This window comes from Homo sapiens, chromosome 1 (genome assembly GCF_000001405.40).
Source record: "Homo sapiens chromosome 1, GRCh38.p14 Primary Assembly".
Classification (NCBI taxonomy): domain Eukaryota; kingdom Metazoa; phylum Chordata; class Mammalia; order Primates; family Hominidae; genus Homo; species Homo sapiens.
In genome coordinates this window covers 206632386-206657216 of record NC_000001.11, presented here as the reverse complement: position 1 = coordinate 206657216, position 24831 = coordinate 206632386, and the positions used below count along the sequence as shown (strand labels likewise).

The 24831-nt window shown below is 42.7% G+C and overlaps 1 protein-coding gene and 1 long non-coding RNA gene across 9 annotated transcripts, besides 2 other annotated features; one reads left to right on the top strand and one right to left on the bottom strand.

Annotated features, from left to right (window-relative positions):
- Positions 1-2058: 2058 nt before the first annotated feature.
- DYRK3 (dual specificity tyrosine phosphorylation regulated kinase 3) lies at positions 2059-21681 on the bottom strand. Of its 7 annotated transcripts, none has more exons than NM_001004023.3 (4): positions 21437-21681; positions 20249-20342; positions 19456-19567; positions 2059-9829 (listed from the first exon to the last, which is right to left on the bottom strand). In NM_001004023.3, exons 2-4 carry the CDS (start codon positions 20263-20265, stop codon positions 8252-8254), a joined length of 1707 nt encoding a protein of 568 aa, NP_001004023.1. In that variant the 5' UTR covers positions 20266-20342; positions 21437-21681; the 3' UTR covers positions 2059-8251. The 7 variants fall into 7 exon arrangements, with proteins under 7 accessions (NP_001004023.1, XP_005273372.1, XP_047288070.1 ...); XM_005273315.5 differs by having other exon boundaries at positions 21164-21509; XM_047432114.1 differs by having other exon boundaries at positions 21354-21509.
- Positions 21242-21351: a silencer, noted in NCBI's record as "silent region_1760". NCBI's record gives its function as "represses an Ori minimal core promoter by ATAC-STARR-seq in GM12878 lymphoblastoid cells {active_cell/tissue: GM12878}" and the evidence as "EXISTENCE:reporter gene assay evidence [ECO:0000049][PMID:35858748]".
- Positions 21402-21821: a silencer, noted in NCBI's record as "silent region_1759". NCBI's record gives its function as "represses an Ori minimal core promoter by ATAC-STARR-seq in GM12878 lymphoblastoid cells {active_cell/tissue: GM12878}" and the evidence as "EXISTENCE:reporter gene assay evidence [ECO:0000049][PMID:35858748]".
- DYRK3-AS1 (DYRK3 antisense RNA 1) lies at positions 21549-23021 on the top strand. 2 transcript variants are annotated; one of them, NR_183645.1, is made up of 2 exons: positions 21549-21617; positions 22234-23021. It is a non-coding gene; the product is annotated as a DYRK3 antisense RNA 1 (long non-coding RNA). The 2 variants fall into 2 exon arrangements; NR_183644.1 differs by lacking the exon at positions 21549-21617 and adding an exon at positions 21833-22121.
- The last annotated feature ends 1810 nt before the right edge of the window (positions 23022-24831 follow it).

Here is a 24831-nt window from a genome sequence, read left to right as displayed (position 1 = left end):
TGGGTGTCCTGGATCTGCTCCTCAATCAGGAGATCATCAACAGCCAGATTCAAAGGCAGGGCTGGGCAGCCTCTGCAAAACGAGGTCAAATCATGTCCAGGCTCACTCTACTGGAAGGTCAAGGTCAGTCCTTAGCATCTGCACAGACTAGCTGCAGTCACTTTATGTTTCTGCTTTTGGACTGACAAATTCCTTCCTAGAAAGTAAAAAGCAATGGGCAATGCACTAGTAGCCCTCATTGCCATTTTCACTGCCTTTTCTACGCGCTGATAGTTTTTGTCTTAAAAGGCATAAAGAGCCATGGGAGTATCCTGGTTTGTGGTGCCTTTGATCATGGGGTTTTTGTTGTTTTGTTTTGTTTTCGAGACAGAGTCTCCCACTGTTGCCCGGGCTGGAGTGCAACCTCGGCTCACTGCAACCTCCGCCTCCTGGGTTCAAGCGATTCTCCTGCCTCAGCCTCCCGTGTAGCTGGGATTACAGGTGTGTGCCACCACATCCAGCTAATCTTCTGTATTTTTTGTAGAGACAGGGTTTCACTGTGTTGGCCAGGCTGGTCTTGAACTCCTGACCTCAGGTGATCCACCCGCCTCGGCCTCCCAAAGTGCTGGGATTACAGGCTTGAGCCGCCGCACCCGGCCTGATCATGGGTAAATTTTAACAGCGATATTGCAAGCTGAATTTTCTTTTAAATTCTGCCTGCTCTATAATTCCGCTAGCAGCAATTAATGTCTCCAACCTGGAGTTGCTCCATGTGAGTATAGGAAGGTCCATGTCTAGCTTTAGGCTGGGGTCCCATAAGGCAGAAACCCTGTTCAAGAATCCAGGGAAAGCTGAGAACAGTGGCTCATGCCTATAATCCCAGCACTTTGGGAGGCTGAGATGGGCAGATGGCTTGAGGCCAGGAGTTCGAGACCAGCCTGGCCAACGTGGTGAAACCCCATCTTTACAAAAAAAAAAAAAAAAAAAAAATGCACAAGCACACAAAAAATTGGCCAGGCGTGGTGTTTCATGCTTGTAATCCCAACACTTTGGGAGGCCGAGGCGGGTGGATTACCCGTCAGGAGTTCAAAACCAGCCTGGCCAACATGGTGAAACCCCATCCCTATCAAAAATACAAAAAATTAGCTGGGTGTTATGGCGCATGCCTGTGGTCCCAGCTACTTGGGAGGCTGAGGCAGGAGAATCATTTAACCTGGGAGGCAGAGGCTGCAGTGAGCCGAGATCGTGCCACTGCACTCCAGCCTAGGCAACAGAGTGAAACTCCATCTTCAAAATAAAAATAAATACATAAAATTAGCTGGGCATGGTGATACATGCCTGTAGTCCCAGCTACTTGGGAGGCTGCAGTGGGAGGATCACCTGAGGCCAGGGAGGTTAAGGCTGGAGTGAACTGTATTCGTGCCACAACAATCTAGGGGACAACTCAAGGGTGGCGGAAGGCAGTCCCTGTTAGGTATCCAATTAGCTCCTGTTGCCAGGGCAATTGTGGCTCAGGGCCAGATCAGAAGCAGGCTGGAGCAGAGCCCACAACCCCTAAGAACATTGTTTTCCTCTTTCATTTACTCAATTCCCTCAGGCTTTAAAAGTTATCCCACAGACTGGGGTCTGGGCCTAAGAAAAACACCCAAACTTCCCAAATAAACTGTATTCCTTATTGCGTGTCAGGTTTCATCCTTAAGCTGAGCTTGGGCCCCAAGAGGGTAAATGGGAGAGCTGCTGATTCGGGTTTCTGGGAGATGGTTAGCCCTGAGCACTCTACATGTTTTCCCATTTTCCTTCACAGCAAGGCTGGAGCTCACAAACCAGACTGTGAACAGAAGCTCTGGGTACTAAAGGAAGAATACTGGTGGACTCTCTGTAAGGCTGTTTCTCAGGGCAGCCTTTTCCCTTCCCAAGATTTTCTTTCTGTATCATTGTCATCAAGCAAGAGAGGCTGTACCTGCAGCACAGCCCTAATTACCCAGCGACTGGTACTCACCTCCTTCAGAGTACAGCACACAAGTTCCTGCCTGCGACAGTTCTCAGCCTTGGTTTTGAAACAATCAGGATGCTAAAAAATTCTCAAAGCAATTCATTTTTATTTTTTAAAAAACACCCCAAAATAAAAAACCACTGACTCATCCATGCCAAACTGCACTTTCCAGAGGAAGCATGTCAGCAGACTCAAACGGACAATGGACAGAATCCCATGACACCAAAGTCATTCAAACCTGATGCTTCAGAGGCTGACATTCTGAGCTGAAATAGCCACAGGTCACCACTTGGCCTGATGTGGGACTCTCCTTTCTTTTTAGTCTATTCATGTGGTGGCAGAAGATGTGAGACTCTAGTCTCCAGTCAGGGAGGCTTCTCCTGTTATAGAAAAATATTAGAGTCTAGGCTTGACTTAGCGATGGGTGGGCTATATTAAGAATCATACCCTGCTTCTTCAAAGTCTAGACGATGCATTTGTAGTTCTGGCTTCTCTCAGGGGTTGTGGATCTCAGGGACCAGAGAGAGCTTTTAGTCCTTTTATGGATGGGTTCACTGTGACTCTAAAATCTTTTCTCATTGAAATTAGCCAGCATAATTTGACAGACACTCAGAAAAACACCCTAATCATATTAGGCTGAAGGCCAGGTCTGGAAGTAAATTCTTTAAAAGTTTGGGCTTCAGGAAGGATAGGTTGAAGGTGAAAATGGAGTATGTTAAAATGGGGATATTAAAAATATATTTAAAACTAGGAGGCTAATCCCTGGCAGAAGAGAACTCTTCTTTGATTTGCCAATCCCTGGCCTTTTCTTACTCCTTATTTGTACTGACTCCAGGTTTTCCATAGCATGAATGCCTGCCGCTGCTCTACGCATAGTAAGTTATAGCGTTCTACAGATTGGTCATCTAGACCGAAGACACGGAGGAAAACATGTTCTGGCAATTCTACCTGGCTCAAGGTGTAAGTATGTATTTTTAATTCTCAGAGGAGAAAAAGCATTACAGAGGCAGTCTAGAACAATCATTGTCACCTTTCCAACTTCCGTGTTGATGACATCAATAACAGATGGAAAAGAAATAATTAAAAATAAAGGAGAAAGAGTTTTCCATGATTCACCAAAGTAGTAGGAGTATTCTGTCAGGAAAGCTTAGAACCATTTATCAGCTGCTACCTAAAATTTAGCATTTAACTTTAATTATGCCTAGTTACGAATTAAGCAAAACAGAAAGTGTTTTAACATGACCAGCTGCTACAGATTGAAATAGTTTCACAGTAGAAATTTTTATTTTTTTATTGTTCTTTTTTGATTATGCAATAAGCCCCCTTCTTAACAGATTGTCACAAAAACTAAATTGTAATGACATTAGCCAGCTAACCTGTCTGCCCCAACTCCCTTAAACACCAAGGAATAAAGCATACTAATATGGTCATAAGTCAAACTTCCTCTGGGAAAGAAGATCCAGGCTAGACTCTTTCAGAGCCCCTGTGGGGCAGAAGCAGAATCCTTACATCATAGTTAGGTTTTGGTGGTATTCATTTTTTTTTCATTATTATCAAGGTAACTGTATCTAACACTGGACCAGAAGAAAATGTCCTTAATCCTTATCTCATTACCCTTTCCCAAAAAGAAGACATCAGAGATTGTGTGGGTCAACTTAAAAGAAGAGGCGAGCATGCTCCTGGTTCATGGAAGGAAATGAGCTTCCATCATCTGCACATGATCAGCGGGCATCAAAATCTGTTAATTCAGAACAATATGAAGACACACTCCCATTTGAAGCTTACTTTCTAATCTAAGGAGAAATCATGATAGCACATGATGAAAGAGTACATCAATAACTCTGAGGGTAGATGGTAGGATAGAATACTAGAAGATGAGCAGGTATTAGGTGGATTAGCCAATTTTCCATATTGAAAGAAAAAATGAGGCTGGGCACGGTCGCTCACACCTATAATCCCAGCACTTTGAGAGGGTAAGGCACATGGATCACTTGAGCCCAGGAGTTCAAGACCAGCCCGAGCAACATGGTGAAACCCCCTCTCTACAGATATACAAAAAATTAGCCAGGCATGGTAGCACGTGACTGTAGTCCCAGTTACTCTGGAGGTTGAGATGGGAGAATCACCTGAGCCTGGGAGGTTGAGGCTGCAGACAACACTGCGCCACTTCACTCCAGCCTGGACGACAGAGCGAGACTCTGTCTCAAAAAGAAAAAATAAAGAAAAAGAAAAAATGACTTGGGGAATGAAATAAAAATTCTAACCCAACTCTCACCGTGTCAGAAACAACTTGGAAATTAAAATTTGTCAATTTAGAACTCAGTAAGTCACCTAACCTAACCAGTTTGACTGAAATGACTAGAAGAAAAATGGCTAAAGAACAATCCAGTAACTGAGGAAGAGACAGTCTGAATTTCTGTACTAACTCTGATCCAATTCAGTCACTCATTGCTATGGCTGGGCAGGGATCCAAGTGAAACTTTTAACAGTGGCCAATAAGGTGGCATAGAGTTACTGCCTCTAAAAACCACAACTTGTCCCTAAGCTTGAAACCCAACCATAAACTTCCTCAAATCCATGTGGACGAGCACCATGTTTTTAAGCAGCCCACTCTCCTCAAACTTGAATTGGCCTGCAGAAGACAGGTATGCCAACTTCAATGACTCTGCTCTGCATCACTCTCTCGGTTGCCAAATTGAGGCAGAAACATCCATTTGCCTTCCTGTAGCTTTCTAAAATCTGTCTACAGTGTAATGAGTTGTCTATACACTTTCCCTTAGCCCAGTTTCAGTAACCTTGTAGTCCATTCGATACACAGAAATAGAGCACGCACCAACCTCAGCCACAGGCCCCTTTCTCTCCCAAGTTCAGGCACAGTACTGGCTAGAACTCTCACTAAAAACACAAACACCAAAACACAGTGTACATCAGATGCATATGGGGTAGTAATGCTTTTAACAGTTTGCTTACAGGAGCAGTTCTTCAACACTGATAACAACTGGCAAAACAACCTCAACATATGCTCTGCCTAGATAATGCAGGAGATCCTTAAATTTCTCCAAGTTAGAAAATTCAGGACAACAGCAATATGGTGTTAGAGACTTCAGATCTGTGTCAATCAGATATAGCCTTGCTGCCACCTAAAGATGTGCTCGCCACCCCACACATGGCTTTAGCAGCAGTTCCAAAGGCCAATGCATTCACTCTTGGAAGACAGTGTCAGCTGTCTTGACACTGCTGCTGGCTACATTTAACCAACTCTATGATGTGGTACCAGAGCCCAAGAAATACATCAAGCCAGATCATTCTGTCCAAACATCCCAAGGAAACATGTGCCTTGGACAGCACCTGAGTGGGAACAGGCTGCTAATGTTGATATAAAATGCAAAATAGTAAAAGTAGCATTTTCTCTAATTTACTATTCAGTGAGAAACCCATGCAGAAATCCAATGCAGCAAATTGTAGAGGTTCAATGCTCCCTGATCTGCAGTTAAGCCAGGTGTGCCACCTCCTTCATCTGACTTGGATCCTGCTCTGGACTTCAAGGAAACATCTACCTGGCTAGCAGTTCAAGGACTCGATATAAAAATAACTCATGCTTTGTTTCAACTGGAGGGTCATGACACTGTTGGGCCTACAGGAAAACCATTCATAAGTCAATGTAAGCTCATATCTACTGAAAGAGTAGATTTGAGTTTTTTGAGTAGATATGAGCTTTTACACCCTAAGTTACAATGAAAAGATTCACTGAAGAAGGATTCAATCATGCTGTACTACTTCCTGGAGTTGGCAGAGAAATCATCCATTTCTTGGTAGTTGAAAGAAGGCTGATCCAAGAACACAGTGAAGAGATGTTCCCATTTCTCAAGGTGTTTCATCTTCCTGGCCATGATGATTTAGCACCTGCAAAATTCCCAAACCTACGCAATGTGGTTAATGCGGGGAAGCAGACATTGGACTACCAACTTCCAAAGAGTCACTATCTCGACTAGCAGATCATGAGGTAGATGAGGCAGTTTCAAGACCTCCCTTGAAGAAGGCAGTGATGAATAAAGAAGAGGAGGATGGGTTATGAGCAGCATTTAGTGTGACATCTGAAGAGATCAAGATGCCACTATCAGACAAGAAAACCAATAACCAGACTAATTTCACACAGCTTCTTCAGGCAATGGAATCAAGAGATAGGATGCAGACTTAGAAAAAAAGAAAGAAAATTCAGCAGGAGTTAGAGGGATCTAAAGGAGTTGTATATTTATTGCCTTCTGTAAACCAGGAGTAAAGGAGATAATTAAGGTTTTAAATAATCCAGTTTCTTAGTCACCAAAAGTACCAAGACTTCCTCCTATTAATGAGGCTGAAGGCTCAGTTTAAGCTGTTCTCTGCCATCTGGCCCTTGTACTTGGGAGACTAAAGCCACTGTGGACATTTAAATGAGAGAGATTTGCACTCTCTCATTTTTCACAGCCTATGCTACAGCAATCATGACTACTTTTGGATAAAACAAAAGTTCCTTAAATAATATACTCATGGCATTTTTATTTTCTTTTCTTGTTCCTACACTGCCCAACAAAAAGAGTCTCTTCCAATGTCATTGAGTTTGCACCACATTCTAGAATAATAAATGGAACTGGATCATTCTGAGAACTATATTGTAAAAAGCAAATATTCTACTTTAAAGAACACACTTTTTTTGGTTTGTTTTTTAGACAGAGTCTCACTCTGTTGCCTAGGCTGGAGTGCAGTGGCATGATCTCAGCTCAAGTGATCCTCCCACCTCAGCCTCCCAAGTAGCTGGGATTACAGGCATGTGCCACTAGGCCTGGCTAATTTTTGTATTTTTTGTAGAGGCAGGGTTTCACCATGTTGCCCAGGCTGGTCTTGAACTCCTGGGCTCAAGGAATCCACCCACCTCAGCCTCCCAAAGTGCTGGGATTACAGGCATGAGCCACTAATACCCAGCCAAGAGCACACATTTAGGATAGAACTTGAGCATACTTTTGTTCTGGAAGAGGACAGAAATAGAGCAAGGGACAGGAAACAACAAACAAAACCCAGTAGCAGTGAGTTAGCTTCTGTCCCGTCTCCACCCTTGTAAGTAGGACACTGGCTTAACAATTAGTTTTATTATCAGCCCTCACTGTTTAAATCTTAGCAGAGAAAAAGAAAAGCTGTTGAAGAGAATAAAATTAAGAAACATAAAAAGGGAAAACTTGATTATCACCAGTTTCTGGATTTTTAGTTTTCTTCTTCTAACTGAAGTTCACTCAGATCTAGGGAATAGCATTAAGCTTAACGTGAAAGTGGGGGGAAAAATGTGGCACATTGAAGTGGCAGGTAGCTGTAAAGAGAAGAGGGAAGCATTTTTAAACTGTAGTAAGGTTTATCCGAGAGTGATTACTTTTATAAGGAAGAGATTCTATGAAAATGCAGCAAGGAGGCTGGTCCGTGGAGTACCACAAAGCTGGGGAACTGCAGTTTTCATGCTGATTCTCTATCTTTACCACTCTGGGTCAATTGTGGCAGAGAAGCTGTTTTATCTTCCTTGGGCATGGGAGAGGAAAGGAGGAGGGATGCATATGACTCAGTTTTTAAATCAGTACCTTACAGGGTTATTTAGTAAAGTGGTAAGGCTTCTGTAAAATGCTTTGAGTGACTAGGAAACAAATCAGAGGCAAAATAACAACATAAAATAATAACACCAAACATCAGAGAACTGAAGGGAAGAGGAGCGAGTCACTGAAAACCAGGGACACCAGTTGTCCAGGTCACCAACAGCTTCCTGGTGCTCCCCCACCCCACAGTCTGCTGTGAGCTCTTTCACCTAGAATGAGCCTAGAGAATGGCCTAGTGGGGCAAGGGACCTAGCACTGGCTCTCAGCCACAACTAACACCACATCCCAAATTACCCCTCCAGAACAGATGCCGAGGGACACTAGAAGCGAGGAGTAGTTGGGATACTTTTGCTACACCTTCTATCTTGAGAGAAAGAGATTTAAACCAATAGTATAATACATCAGTTGAAATACATCTGACGATAATAACAAAGATGCATTGACCTATAAAAAGTCATTTAATGCATATTCCAGATGGCCAATACAAGCTGGTTAGGTAATTAGCCCTTGAAGAATTCTTTTATAATCATATAAAAATGTTTTGTCTTGTTTAAAAAAAGTCTACTCTAACAAAAACATCCACCAATGGGCTTGCATTTTTTCCATTTGCAGGTTTGTAAGATCATAAAAATATACACATATGCATCTCTGGGCATATCTCTGTCCACTAGCTAATCAGTTTTGGCAATACACTGCATAGGGGTATACTACCATTGGTTTCTGACATTAAGTTAGCTTTAAGCTTATTGGCTATTCCAACAACTGGAGGCAGCTTAGAACCCAATCCCTGGAAAGCACTTGCAGGATTAACTACCCGTTTCCCTGACACCTTGTCTATGGTGGTGAGAGGTCTGGGGACAGACTTGCTAATCCAAGGGTGTCTTAATGCTTGAGCTGGGGTCAAGCGGGCAGAGGGGTCCCAGTGAAGACACCTTTTCAAGAACTCTATAAACAAGTAGTCATCACACCCTTTCAGTGCTGTCCCCCAGTCTTTGCTGCCTGGGGGACCCCGCTTTTTACCCCTACGTGAGCGACCCCCCACAAGCACAACCCTCCCATCTGCCTGGGTAGTCACAGAGCAGTAGCGGGGTATGCCCTTGGAATTAATAAAGTACTTGGCACGTTTGGATTGCTCCAGAAGTTTTGGTGGTGGCATCCCTAGAAGCTCCATCATGCAGGCCAACTGGTCTCCTTCATCCTCTCCAGGGAAGAGAGGCTGTCCTGTTAAAAGTTCTGCAAGGATGCAGCCAAAACTCCATATGTCAATTGGTGTGCTGTAGCGGCTTCCTAAGATGATTTCTGGAGCTCTGTAGAACCGAGACTGGATATATGTGTAGAGCTTCTGGTACTCGAAACAGCTGGACCCAAAGTCAATGACCTTGGTTGAACTGCGCCCGTGGTGTTTCAGGAGAATGTTTTCTGGCTTCAGATCGCAGTGAATAATCTTATTTTTGTGGAGGGCATCCAAAGATTGCAAGATGGACTGGGCAAACTTGCGTACCAACTGGACGCTAAAACCCTGAAACTTATTTTTTTTAATCAGCTCATAAAGGTCTATGCTCAGCAATTCAAAGGCCATGCAAACATGGTTCCGGAATGTGAAACTTTCCAGCATGTGGATAACGTTCATACTACCAGTTTTATCCTGTTTCTTAAGATGCTCCAAAATCCGGATCTCCTCAGCTGCTTGACGATGAAAGCGCTTCTCATTGCGCACCATTTTTAGGGCCACGTACTGTCGAAGTTTGTGATCATAGACCCTGGCCACCTGCCCAAAACTCCCCTTGCCAATAATTTTCAGCACCTCATATCGATAAGCTAGATGGTCTCGAGGTACATGAATATAGGCCCCATCTGCATCATCATACCCTCCATTATTGGGACCACCAATAACTCCATGTCTTTTCTTGGCATTTGGACCTACAAAGTAAATTTCTGGATAATTAATTATTTCCAGTTTCTCATAGGCAGTGAGGTGGTGTTTATATTGCTTCAGGGCTTGTTCTGGAGTCAGAGGCACCACTTTGGGTGCCTTGGATGAACTGTTGGATTTTACTGTATTCAAGCAATCTGAACTTTTACCCTGAGAAACAGTAGGAGAGCATTTTTCAGAGTCACTGATGCCATCTGACTGAATAGTATTGGATTTTCTGTTGCCAAATTCTTGAAACAGCTGTTCTACCTTCATCTCACCTCCATCCAAAAAGTGCTGAGTATGATCTCCTGTAAACTGCTCAGTGGTCATCTATGAAAGAGAAAATGAATATAAGTCATTAAAAACATTAGAAAGATGGAAGAATCCTCCCTCCTCCAACTGAATAACAACAAAACATGTCCAGTCATGTTTACTTTAAGGTTAAAATGACCCAAAAAGAAGATAAGAAAAGCAAGAGTCTCTAGCAACTTGTGTTATATTAATTTTCAGACTCCCTGAATATTGCGGCCATCCCTAACCCCCATACATGCCTTGCTTTGTTCAAGACAAGATGATCTTACCATGCCCCCCACATGCCAGGTTCCTTCTTACAGATGTGTCCTTGTACTGAGAATCCTTCCACCCCCTCATCCCCTCGACTCCTACATTCCTTCAAAGCCCAGTTTAATTCCTCTCTCTTCCACTTAGAACTATGCCAAGCCCATACTAATTAATCTTATATCCTAACTGCAGCTTCTCCAGTTTGTGCCACATAATTTGGTACTTGATTATGTATAATATATGCACTACCTTACACTGTTTACTAATTGTTTCAAGTATCTTCCCAAATATTAAGGACATATAGCATGATGAAAATAATGCATACTGAAGTGTAAACAAGAAGGTACTATCAAGTGACAGAAGCAGAATTTGAACCAGAATAGGTCTTCTGGCTCCTATTCAAGGGCCCTTGCCATTAACATAACTCAGCACCAGGTTCTCCCAGCACCTGTAGACTAGCAGGGCTGAATGTTGACTATGGCCTGGAATCAACAACGTGCTCAATCATCTACTCCCAGGTCCCCATATAAATTACTGTAGCCTTTTAACTCAGTTCATTGAATCACAAAAGCTCTAAGTTAAAGAGAACTTTTGAGATCATCTGGACCAATTCTTCAAGTACCTGATAACAGTGAGGGTCCAAGGTCCCTGGGGTACTTATAAAACTCTTCCCTAGCAAGAGCCTACTTGATAAAGGAGTACTACTCCTTTCACCAGGTTTTCCACAATCTTCTCCTGGAAGGGATACTGACCCACAGAAAAAAGCTCTACTTACACCTCTGAATTAAGATTCTTTGAACTGAAACAAGGTTTTTTGAAATAAGATGGAGGAAAAGAAGGACAAAAACAACCAAACACCTAAGTAAAATTAATATTAATTAATTACTATTACAAAAAAAGGGTAACTATGTGAGATGATAGATACATTTAATTGGCTTGACTGTAGTAACCATTTCACTATGTGTATCAAAACATCATACTGGACACCTTAAAAAATAAAATTTTTTGGCCACGTGTGGTGTCTCACGCCTGTAATCCCAGCACTCTGGGAGGCCAAGGCAGGTGGATCACTTGAGGTTAGAAGTTCGATACCAGCTTGGCCAACATGGTGAAACTCTGTCTCTACTAAAAATACAAAAATTAGCTGGGCATGATGGTGCACACCTGTAATCCCAGTTACTTGGGAGGCTGAGGCAGGAGAATTGCTTGAACCCAGGAGGTGGAGGTTGCAGTGAGCCAAATCATGCCACTGCACTCCAGCCTGAGCGACAGAGTGAGACTCCGTCTCAAAAAAATAAATCAATAAAATAAAAAATAAAATAAAAACTTTGGCCAGGTATGGTGGTTCATCCCTGTAACCCCAGAACTTTGGGAGGCCAAGACGGGCAGATCACTTGAGGCCAGAAGTTTGAGACCAGGCTGGCCAACATGGCAAAACCCCACCTCTACTAAAAATACAAAAAAAAAAAAAAAAGCCAGATGTGATGCATGGATGCATGCCTGTAATCCCAGCTACTTGGGAGGCTGAGGCAGGAGAATCGCTTGAACCTGGGAAGTGGAGGCTACAGTGAGCCAAGATCACGCTACTGCATTCCAGCCTTGGCAACAGAGTGAGAGACTGTCTCAAAAAAATAAAATAAAAAAAGAAATAAGTGAAAAATACTAAGAAGGGGCTGGAAAGATAAAAATGTTAAATCTGTTCTTAAAAATAAAAGGAAGTCTAGGATAAATAAAAGGAAGTCTAGGATACTTAAAAGAACAACTGTTTTTCTCAATGGACCCTGAAGAATTATGTCCTTTATCTGTTTGATAATTTCAGAGAGCCTGTAGTAAGAGGAACAGATTAATTCCGGAGGAGCTCTGGGCTACAGTTATAATCTCTAAAAATGTAAGCTAAAAAGTAGTCAAACCTTTAAAAACTAGAAATTTTAATATAACCTAAGCAAAACAAAAATTGTATTTATAAATTACCAAAAATAAATAACAAAAAACAATATTAAAAAACATAAATGACAAAAATTTAAGTGTTGGCATACCTCAGACAGCCCCCGTAATTCAGTTATAAAAGTCCTGCTTGCTCCTTTTTAAAAGTCATTTAATCAATTTAAATATTTATAGAACACTTACAGTTACATGATGTATTATATGATCTTAAACAAAGTCAAGGAGCCAGTTCAAATGTAGCCACAGCTTGGCATTTAGTTTTAAAATAAAGGGGCCAGATATTGCCCAAGTACATATAGTCTCTCTGATACCAAAATAGAAAACTATCACTGGTCAAGAAAATAAACAGGCCCACATATAGAATCTAAATATTGGCCAGCCGTGGTGGCTCACACCTGTAATCCCAGCACTTTGGAAGGCCGAGGCGGGTGGATCACCTGAGGTCAGGAGTTCGAGACCAGCATGGCCAACATGGCAAAACCCTGTCTCTACTAAAAATACAAAAATTAGCCAGGCGTAGTGGCGCGCACCTGCATTCCCAGCTACTTGGGAGGCTGAGGCAGGAGAATTGCTTGAACTGGGGAGGTGGAGGTTGCAGTGAGCTGAGATCGCACCACTGCATTCCAGCCTGCAATCTATTAGGGAATAAATTTGGTGGAACTAGGAAAAGAATTTTAATTATTTGGTTTTAATTAGATTTACATAACAAAAACAAACATCTACAAGCATCTTGGCTAGTTTTCCTTAAAATCTTTACTACCTAACTTTAATTCATCTAAATATTTACTGCTTAAGTCTTTGAAACACATCCTGAAGAAACAGGGAGTCAGAAGGCCTGGGTTGGGGTCCTGGCTACACTACTTAAAAGCTGTAGGTCCAGCCAGGTGTGGTGGCTCACGCCTGTAATCCCAGCACTTTTGGAGGCCAAAGTGGGCAGATCACCTGAGGTCGGGAGTTGGGGACGAGCCTGACCAACATGGTGAAACCCCATCTCTACTAAAAATACAAAAATTAGCCAGGTGTGGTAGTGTGTGCCTGTAATCCCAGCTACTCAGGAGGCTGAGGAAGAAGAATTGCTTGAACCCAGGAGGCAGAGGTTGCAGTGGGCCAAGATTGCATCACTGCACTCTATCCTGGGCGACAGGGCAAGACTACTTCTCAAAAAAAAAAAAAAAAAAAAAGCTGTAGGTCCCTGTTGCCTTCCTGAGCCTCAGTTTCTTTATCTGTAAGATGTGGATAATAATATCTACTTGCAGGATGTTGTGTGAATCAAATTCTAATTAAAAATAATAATTTCACCAACTATAAAATATTTAAAAGACACTGGTTACAATTCAGCAAAATTCTCAATACATTAAAGTTTAAGTTCCTATACACCCTTCCCCTTCCCCTTTTCTCTCTTCTCTTGCTGGCGGCTTCCTCCATTTCTCCAGCCTGATCTCCCTCCATCATGCGTCTAGCACTAACTATGCCTTCTGCTCAATGAGGGCCCCCACAATAGGCCTTCACTTAGGATACACGGAATTGCCTCACCCACTTTCTCCCCACATAAAACATGCTTTCCACTCACTATACAATGTACTGTGTTACCTCTCCATGGATATTTGAACTTCAACAGAAGATCAATGCCCTAATGAAAAGGAATGCCTCTCTAGGAACTGAAGTTACCAGTGACAAGCTGTTAGGAAAGGTATTTGTGGTGCAGCGTCTGTCCCTGGGAATTTCCCCTACTCTGCTTACGTGTAAGGCTGGACTGGCTCTGAAGGTCTTCATTTCTGTTTGTGATAATGAGAGGGTCTCAGGTACACAACATTAATAAGAACAGATACATATCAGAAATGTAATTTCCATAGAACTATTACAATAATATTAAAGATGTCACTTAGAATCCCTGACTCATGGTTTTTCCTTAAAGTAAGCCTAAATTTCTCTCCTTGCAAAATAAGTTGTACCTTGCCTTTGGGAACTACACAGAAGTGTCCAAATTTCAAGTAGGAACCCTCTGGGTACCTAAAAGGGGCTGTGCTGTCCCTGCCTCCACCATTCTGTAGGTTCACCATCCCCACTACATCTGCCTTACCTCACCCACTCTCCTGTTCACATTCTCAACATAGGCTGCACTTTATGTCTCTCTTGAAGCATGCCTTCCAGAACAGAGCAGGCTACTTCAGTGTAGTCCACCATCAATATCATCTTCTCCAGTGAATCTGGAGAATTCTGGGAGGTAATTTTTCCACACAGGGAGGGGTTATCTTTTTTATTATTATTATTATATTTTTATTATTATTATTATAAGTTATAGGGTACATGTGCACCACACGCAGGTTACATATGTTACATATGTATACATGTGCCATGTTGGTGTGCTACACCCATTAACTCGTCATTTACATTAGGTATATCTCCTAATGCTATCCCTCCCCCCTCCTCCCACCCCACGACAGGTCCTGGTGTGTGATGTTCCCCACCGTGTCCAAGTGTTCTCATTGTTCAATTCGCACCTATGAGTGAGAACATGTGGTGTTTGGTTTTCTGTCCTTGCAAGTTTGCTCAGAATGACGGTTTCTAGCTTCATCCATGTCTCTACAAAGGACATGAACTCATCCTTTTTTATGGCTGCACAGTATTCCATGGTGTATATGTGCCACATTTTCTTAATCCAGTCTATCATTGATGAACATGTGGGTTGGTTCCAAGTCTTTGCTATTGTGAATAGTGCCACAATAAACATACATGTGCATGTGTCTTTATAGCAGCATGATTTATAATCCTTTGGGTATATGCCCAGTAATGGGATGGCTGGGTCAAATGGTATTTCTAGTTCTAGATCCTTGAGGAATTGCCACATTGTCTTCCACAATGGTTGAACTAGTTTACAGTCCCACCAACAGTGTAAAAGCGTTCCTATTTCTCCACATCCTCTCCAGCACCTGTTGCTTCCTGACTTTTTAATGATCGCCATTCTAACTGGTGTGAGATGGTATCTCATTGTGGTTTTGATCTGCATTTCTCTGATGGCCAGTGATGGTGAGCATTTTTTCATGTGTCTGTTGGCTGCATCAATGTCTTCTTTTGAGAAGTGTCTGTTCATATTCCTTGCCCACTTTTTGATGGGGCTGTTTGATTTTTTCTTGTAAATTTGTTTAAGTTCTTTGTAGATTCTGGATATTAGCCCTTTGTCAGATGGGTAGATTGTAAAAATTTTCTCCCATTCTGTAGGTTGCCTGTTCACTCTGATGGTAGTTTACTTTGCTGTACAGAAGCTCTTTAGTTTAATTAGATCCCATTTATCAATTTTGGCTTTTGTTGCCGTTGCATTTGGTGTTTTAGACATGAAGTCCTTGCCTATGCCTATGTCCTGAATGGTATTGCCTAGGTTTTCTTCTAGGGTTTTTATGGTTTTAGGTCTAACATTTAAGTCTTTAATCCATCTTGAATTAATTTTTGCATAAGGTGTAGGGAAGGGATCCAGTTTCAGCTTTCTACATATGGCTAGCCAGTTTTCCCAGCACATTAAATAGGAAATCCTTTCAGGGAGGGGTTCTCTTCTTAACTTTCTTTCCTTTCCTGTAAATAACTCAAATACTGGCCTGAATCAATTACATATCAAGTCTGATGTGTTATAAATAAAACCTTCCTTCCATTGTTCTAAAAAAATCTACAGTGTTCACACATATTAAACTATAATTGTTTTAAAACACTAAATATTTCCCCAAATGCCCATCAATCAAGGAGTAGATAAAGAAATTATGGTATATATATATATACCATAGAATACTATTTAGCCATAAAAAAGAATGAAATAATGGCATTCACAGCAACCTGGATGGAATTGGAGACCATTATTCTAAGTGAAGTAACTCAGAAATGGAAAACCAAACATGGTATGTTCTCATTCATAAGTGGGAGCAAAGCTATGAAGACGATGAAAGGGCTTAAGAATGATACAATGGACTTTGGGGACTTGGGGGATAGGGTGGTAGAGGAGTGAGAGGTAAAAGACTACACACTGGGTCTAGTATACACTGCTCGGGTAATGGGTGCACCAAAATCTCAGAAATCACCACTAAAGAACTTATTCATGTAACCCAAACACCACCTGTTCCCCAAAAACCTATTGAAAAAAAAAACACTAAATATTTCTAGTCTAGGGTTATAATCACAATAACCAAGCAATGTATATGACTGACTCTACCAAGTATTTTCTTAACCATGTAATTATATCCAGAGACATGAATAATGTCATATTTATCATGTTTTATTTCATAAGAATGCTTCACATACCCTGCTAATTTGATGGGCTTCTGGCATTTTAAATAGAATCTTCTACTGTATTAATCAAGTCTTAAAAATCTTGCTGAGAGGCCAGGCACGGTGGCTCACGCCTGTAATCCCAGCACTTTGGGAGGCCAAGGCGGGCGGATCACGAGGTCAAGAGATCGAGACCATCCTGGCTAACACGATGAAACCCTCTCTCTACTAAAAATACAAAAAATTAGCCAGGTGTGGTGGTGGGTGCCTGTAGTCCCAGCTACTCGGGAGGCTGAGGCAGGAGAATGGCATGAACCCAGGAGGCGGAGCTTGCAATGAGCCGAGATAGTGCCACTGCACTCCAGCCTCAGTGACAGAGCGAGACTCTGTCTTAAAAAAAAAAAAAAAAAAAAATCTTGCTGAGAAATTGAAAAGGAATAAAGGAATATCCTTCTCACTCAGATATAAAACCCTACCTTTTCCCCAGCTCCCAAACCCTAAATCCCTGTAACACAAAACTTAACCCAATAAAAGCCTATGGGCAGATGATTTATAGTTTACCATGAGAATGTAGGAGCATCTTGAATAAATGAAGCTAGAAAACTTTGTAAAAAAAAGTAACAGGATCTCGGGATAGAGTCATGGCATAATGAAATGTAAGTGGCACCAAGAGGTCAAAAGGCATTTTTTATTTTTATTTTCTTTTTCAGCAAAATGAGTAAAGACAGCCAGGCGTGGTGGCTCACGCCTGTAAAGCCTGCACTTTGGGAGGCTGAGGTGGGTGGATGACCTGAGGTCAGGGGTTCGGGACCATCCTGGCCAACATGGTGAAACCCCATCTCTACTAAAAATACAAAAATTAGCCAGGCATGGTGGCAGATGCCTGTAATCCCAGCTACTTGGGAGGCTGAGGCAGGGAGAACTGCTTGAACCCGGGAGATGGAGGTTGCAGCAAGCCAAGATTGTGCCACTGCACTCCAGCCTGGGCGAGAGAGCGAGACTCGGTCTCAAAAAAAAAAAAAAAAAAAAAAAAGAAATGAGTAATGAGTAAGACATCTAAAATCTTCTTGCTCCCTCACAAAACTGTCATGCCTAACACCATGCAGTAAGAAATTAATTTTTGATCCTGAAACATACAATGTAAGTAACCTACTGGAAGGTAAATAGCATCGGCTAACTCTGAATCAAAGTAAAAATGACTTGGCTGGGCGCGGTGGCTTGCGCCTGTAATCCCAGCACTTTGGGGAGCTGAGGTGGGTGCATCACAAGGTCAGGAGTTCAAAACCAGCCTGACCAATACAGTGAAACCCCATCTCTACTAAAAATACAAAAATTAGCCAGGCATGTTGGTTGGTGCCTATAATCCCAGCTACTTGGGAGGGTGAAGCAGGAGAATCACTTGAACCCGGGAGGTTGCAGTAAGCCAAGATTGCGCCACTGCACTCCAGCCTAGGTGACAGAGTGAGAGTCCATCTCAAAAAAAAAAAAAAAAAAAATCAGTTAAAATGACTTAAAGTCAGATGTTAACACTTCAACCCAATTGCAAATAGTTTCCTATAGAGGTGAACCAATTGGCAGCAAGTAACCAAGCAATCTGATGGGCAACACAAGATGTATATGGTTCTGAAGTTCTTAGACATTTTGACATATTAAAGAAACAACTTGCAAAGAATGGAAAGAAACCCCACTACACTCCAAAAAGGGGACGAAAAATAGGGTGACCAGCCTTCAAAATATTTTTAGCTCACGTTTTGTATACTACTAGTGTTGAAAGTGGGGAAAGGGCCGGGTGCGGTGGCTCACGCCTGTAATCCCAGCACTTCCAGAGGCCGAGGGAAGTGGACCACTTAAGGTCAGGAGTTAGACCAGCCTGACTAACATGGTGAAACCCTGTCTCTACTAAAAATACAAAACTTAGCTGGGTGTGGTGGCAGTCGCCTGTAATCCCAGCTACTCAGGAAGGCTGAGGCAGGAGAATTGCTTGGACCCGGGAGGTGGAGGTTGCAATGAGCTGACATGACACCACTGCACTCCAGCCTGGAAGACAGAGTAAGACTGCGTCTCAGGAAAAAAAAAAAAAAAAAAAAGGAAAAAGGTTGATTTTAAGCAAAAACTGATGACCACAGGAAGGACTATGAAAAATAGAAGTGATTTTTCCATATAGAAACAATTTCAGGTCTTAAACACAGAAACGTGAAAGAGAAATATTACAAATGAGTCAATTCAATTATTCAGTTTGTTCATCTGATGACATATGCAGGAAATTTTAAAGTCATAGGATAGCCTCTCTTTGTCATGGAACTTGGCCAAACCCTGCTCTGCCTACCACTCTATGCATGCTGAAGGAATGCAAATTAATTTTATCTTAAGTTAAAAAAAAAAAAAAGCTGCCAAGCACGGTGGCTCACGCCTGTAATCCCAGCACTTTGGGAAGCCGAGGCGGGTGGATCACGAGGTCAGGAGTTCAAGACCAGCCTGACCAACATGGTGAAACCCCTGACTACTAAAAATACAAAAATTAGCCAGGCGTGGTGGCACGCGCCTGTAATCCCAGCTACTCAGGAGGCTAAGGCAGGAGAATCACTTCAACCCGGGAGGCAGAGGTTGCAGTGAGCCAAGATCATGCCATTGCACTCCAGCCTGGGTGACAGAGAGAGACTCCACCTCAAAAAAAAAAAAAAAAAAAAAAAAGCTAAGTGTCTGCAGTCCCCAAAATGATTAAGTGCATTAAAAACCAAACTGTTGTAGTTATCATCTATCTATAAAATGGTTCTCTTTAGTATACTAATAAACGAAGACTGCATTTCCACCGTGCAGGGGAAAAAAAACTCCTGCAGATCTATGAATTCTGACATGTTTTCTGTTTCTTATTTTTGTTAAAAGGAGCCTTTGTAATACTAGGTGTATATCATCCTATACAAAAATAAGCATTACCTAAATAAAAGTAGCATATTATTTTTTTCCTAGTGCTATATATTTATCCCAGTGGAAACTGAAATAAAAAGGTGAGCTCCAAACTGAAATCATTCTGAAAAGCTAAATTTGGACCACAGACATTGTTATTCCAAAGTCAAGAGAAATCAAAAATAAACCAAAAAAAAGTCTGGTTGTCAGTGATACATAAGTGTACCTTGAGCATTAAGTAGCACTTCCTCCTTTCCAAAACAATTCATGTACAAAGAATGACTTCTTTTACTTACATTTAGTCTTCTGGGTGGAGGTGGTTCAGAAGGATTGCAGAGTACATTTGAACAGGGGGGACATTTGGTTTCATCTATCATCATGAAGGTGTCATAGACACCATCCCCCAACCTAGTTAAAAGGATTACAGACAAAATCTGTCAGGAACTGAAGAATATAGAATCCTATGTCTTAACTGCTTCATATCTGCTACAAGGAACAGTAATAGAAATAAATGTCTACACTACATTTTGGCACTGAATACAAACAACTGGGGTATTTGGAAGAGGTACAGAGGAAATCCAACTTTTGTTTTTCAAGGACAGCATTTCTAGGTTTGTATTTTAAAACAGTTGAAACAAGTCCTTCTGAATGTTGTTAAACACAATAAGGACTATCAGAAGGATCTCATAATAACTTACTACTTGAAAATAAAGGCTAGTTTGAAACTGAAGCTCACAGAGAAAAAAACAGACCAGAAAAAACTAACAGAGGTAATAGTTTCTCAAGTCAGAGACTTGGATTCTAATCTCAGCTCTAACACTGGCTGTGCTACCTTCTCCTCTGAGCCTGTCTTCCCCAGTGCTACCTTCTCCTCTGAGCCTGTCTTCCCCATGTTAATGGGAAGACTAGCTCCAGTCTTCACACTTCTGGGTCTTACAGGCAAGAAATAAAAGGCCTTTTTAAGGCTGTCTTCTCTTTATTCATTTACTTACTTACCTACTTACATCTACCTAACCTGCAGAAAAATACAGTAAGTACTACAGCAAACGCTAAAAGGATGCTCTAAATTATAAAATGTATTGAATTTACTTCTCTTTCCACTTCATTTTCTGGTGGATGGTGGAGGCAAAATTCTAAATGATTAAGGATCACTTCTCTGTTCTTTAACACTGTGGCTCCACCACTGTAAGGGAACACAAAAGACGGAGAGGATTTATTTAATCCACAAGATGGCCCTGAATAATGTATTTCATCTGCTACCAAGAACACGGATTTCCCAGTTACACACATCAGCATTTCATTGTATCATTTTACATGATACACTATGAATATAACAATGATGATGTTGCAGAGGAATAATTTTTTAACGTCTTTTAAAATATCCTGGAATATTCTGGTCACCTTAAAAACTGTTTTGTGAAATTCATTCTAGAGTTTTCTTTATAGATGTGTTATAAAAATATAAAGGGAAAAAAACCGCTACAAATATTTTTGGAATGCTCTTTTTAAAAACATGCTCACATTCTGATAGAATTATTTATATTTTTAACAGGGAATGGCTTCACCAACAGAAACCAAATATTCTGGATGTGACTGACCCTTTGCCATAAGCCTGATAAAACAAACCAGGATAGGCGTCCACATATATAAAGAAAAAGAAAACGTGCAAAATTGCCTAGTGACTAACAGCCAGAGGAAATTAACAAGAGTCTGCATGCAAATAAAGCGGGGAGCAAGGGTCTCTTCTCTCCATTTAGGTGTAAAATACAACGCAAGGTGGGGAATCTCTCAAAATAGGATCCGGAGAAAGCCGTACCCAGCATAGCCCATAACCTGTACATTCGAAGCTAGACCGCACCCCTCACAGCAAACCCCAAGAGTTCAGCCGTTGGTTATCCGCTCTAAGCAACAGGGCTTCTTTCCAAGGTATTGCTCCCGGGCTCCCCCCCTTTAATAAAAAGCCCCACAAAAAGTCCTAGATTTTCGTAATCCCTTAACATATACCCCGATCTAGGGTTTCAGAGGGAATCCAGGGGTGGAAATTCTTCTTGCTCTAACTCCGCTCTAGCCCCGTCCCCCGCGCCCGGTGAGACAGGGATGGGGGGAGGGGGCCCTGATAGAGAGGAGGTGGGGGCGGTCCCGGGGAGGCAGTCAGACCCCTGCCCTCGTCCCTCCTACTGAGGGCTCACTCTACCTCCTCCCCACCCCCAAGCTTCGCTTGCCAGCGCCAGCCGCTCCCTGTGGCGCCTCCAGCCCGTTACCCCGTGGCGCCGTTACCTCCGCTGCTGGGGCGGGAGCCCGGCCCCAGGCGGCCCCGCATCCTTCCGCCCAGGCCCACGAGCTGTGCCTCCCATCTCCTAGCTCGGGACCCCGCGCGGGGAGAGGCGCCAGTTGGGGGTCCGGTCGGCCACGCCACCTACGCCGGGACGGCTGCCTCCGCGGCGCGACGCTCCCACGGGTACTCTCGACCAGACACTGCAGCTCAGCGCACTTTCGCTCCCGACTGGCCCCGGCTGGGAAGTGGGGAGACGCAGCTCCAGGGGCGGGAGGGGGAGCGGTCTGGTCGCCTAGCAACCGCGGCACGCCCCCGGGAAACGCCTCGGCGCAGCTACGGGCTGACGCACAGGGGCGGGGCCCGTGGCCGGTAAAGGCCACGCGGCGCTCCTAGCGGGTGCTAGTACTGGCGCGGGAGGCGGGAGGTTGGAGGCGAGGAGCTCGCGGCCTAGGCTGTTTGGGTCCCTGGCGCGAGCTGTAGACGGAGAGAGGGGTCCGGAGAAGGAGGGGTGAAAGTAGCAGTTAGCCCGCGATCTCAGAAGGGCTGCCCGCCCCTCACGGTCCCTTAATAGCACGTTGCGTCCTGGAAGTTCTAAAACGTCCCGCTTCAATATGAATTTTAAATTAGTGAAAACATATGTGTATTGTTTTAGGCTTTCCCACCGCGGGGACGGCCCTCCGGGGGTTGGTGAGTTACATAAGAAAGCAATAATAATAAACCCATTTATTGACACGATGCTTCCATTTATGAACATTTGATCTCAGTAACGGAGGTACCCGACGACTTTCGTCTTTTACAGACTTAGCTGGGATGCAGAATAGAAGCTGGGCCTTTGTCTGACTACCCTGCAACAGTCAGCCACAGACGGGAAGGCAGCGCAGGAAACTGAGGCCAAAGGAGCCGCGCTTCCTCATGAGCATGAAGCGGCAAAGCCTGAACTAGAAGCTTCTAACGCCTAACCGTCCTCTTGCCGCACCAGGACCTACCTCTGCAAGGCCCTTCCTGACTTTTTCCTTAGAATGTGTGTATATGTGTCTTTTTCCTTTTCTGATGCTAAGACACCTCAGAAACACCAATGTTAAGCAGATTTCCATCGTTGGAGGTTAAAACACCCGAATACAAGTGTTTTCTTGAGTGTGGCATCTGGTCAGATGTTTTATGGGTTGGTTTGTTTTTAAAAAAAAAAAATTTCCTGTTAGATGGGTGGTAAGAACCAGTCAGAGTTTGTAAACCCACCAAGCACGAGGCGGTCGGACCGTCCAGATTCTGGAGTCCAGAAGACACCAAACGTTCTCAGAATGCCGAACGCGGGCGCCACCTGGTGGGACTAGAACGCTTATTGTCCCAAATCAGCATAGCACACAGTTCCCATAAATCTTAAAAATTCCCATCCAAGGCTCATTTCCGTGTGACTAAAAGTCATATTCTCTGTTCTCGTGACTCCAAGTAAAAATGTCCCTAAAGAGCCAAAGTATCTTCACTGTATAAACTAATAATCTATTGGTTTGGGGAATTTTATTTTTTGTGATCAATGTTACTTTAGCCTTTCTATGATATACATATAAATAAAAAAGTTTTCTTCCATGATGATTTTTTAAAGTTTATTTTATAAATAAACTTTTTCTTTTTGTCTCTCCCTTCCCCCACTTTGCAACCAGAGCAATTCTGCTTTCACAGGGGTTTGTATTTGGGCTCTTACGAAGCTTTTGTTTGAAGAAAGAGTTCCATGGCAACGCAAAGATTGGACGAGGTTACTGTTGAAGTCCCTTCCAGCTCTAAGATTGCAAAATTCTATTAAATAATCCCCGTTCTCAGTACTTATGTAGACACCTCAGACCACTTTACTGCCCTCCCTAAACAGTTGAATGAGACTTGCCCCCACATGATTTCTTACCTCATTCTGAATCACTGCTCGTGAGAGGATTGCATCCGCAGTCTGTGCTTAAGACACATCTTCCAGAGCCAAGTGGAAGGGTTCCTGCTCCCTTTCTTGCTCCTAAGGTGGGAAATACAGAGGCCGCCTTTGTCTTTCGCCTATTGTTCCCATGGTCAAGGGAAAGAGGACTCCTCGAGGGTGCTGGAGCTTCATAAATCTCTGACCTTAGTGACCCAATGTTTCTTCAAAGATCCCCTGTATGATGGGGTTAACGTCCCATAAGGGATCTGGCAGGAGCCTCCACACCCCTGCTGAGCGCTGCCCTGTCCCCTCCAGCTCCCAAGCAGCTTCCACATCATTCATGCCCTTTCTTCCCCTCCAAAGCCTCATTCAAGAGTAGTTTAAAATCACCATTATCATTCTCCATGCAGTTAAAGTCAGATTTACCCACCATGAATTAGCCAAAAGTCATATAAGATGCATGTCTGTCCTTTGAAGCCAATTCCAAGACATCTGCAAAATAAGGTACCTGCAAGTTCTAATACATTGACTAAGGAAATAAACAACAGTAAAAAAGATGCAACTATTCCAGGATCTTAAAAACCCACTGGGACATTCACAATGTGATCAAAGTTTCAAATGCACAGATTAAGAAAACATCCCCGTGGCCACATTTACCTGGAATTTTGTGATAAAATAGCTGTTAGTAGGTTATGTTAAGTTTGGACAAGTTTCATTGACATTTCTGTACAGCAAAATGTGCCATAATGCCTACTGTGACATGTGCATCACAGAATTGGAAAATATTTTTTAAAAATCACTGGAGAGAACCAGTGAAACTTACTTTTTTCCTCAAGCTATGTTAACCTCAAATTGACCCGTGTTCCTGAAATGTATACTTGCTATTTTTTTCAGAAACACTGAAATCTAGCTCACTGGAACACTAAAGCCATGGCTTATTTTTCTGGAGCCTCAGAAAACTGTCTCTCTTCTATACCTCAGGCATCTCCTGTTCTTATGCCCTCCCCTCTCCACCAAGATTTGAAAAATGCCCCTTATTAACAAAGCAAACAAAAGCCATGCCCGCAGTGCTGTAGTACAGCTACAACTAAGACACACTTAGTTCTGTGTCTCCTAAACCCTAAAGGTTGTCCTTATTATCACAAACTCTTCACCTATTTTTCTTTTCCAAAACTTTTGCCATCTTTTTCCACTTGTTCCTCCTAAGTCAGCGTGACCAGTTCCACCTATAGCCCTGAGGGGTCCTATGAAGCTTCATTTCTGAAATCTTGAAACCAAACCAGGAGTCTTTCTAATCATCATTACCATTTGCTAAGTATTTATTATGTTCCAAGCACTATCTGAAGCACTTTAACATATTTGCTCATTTAAAACTCACAGTAGTCCCGTGAGATAGGTATTATCTCCATCCTACACTTCAGAAAACAGTCTCAGAGTTTAATAACTTGCCCAAGGTCACCCAGCCAGTAAGTGATGAACTGAAATTCAAACCCTGGTCTG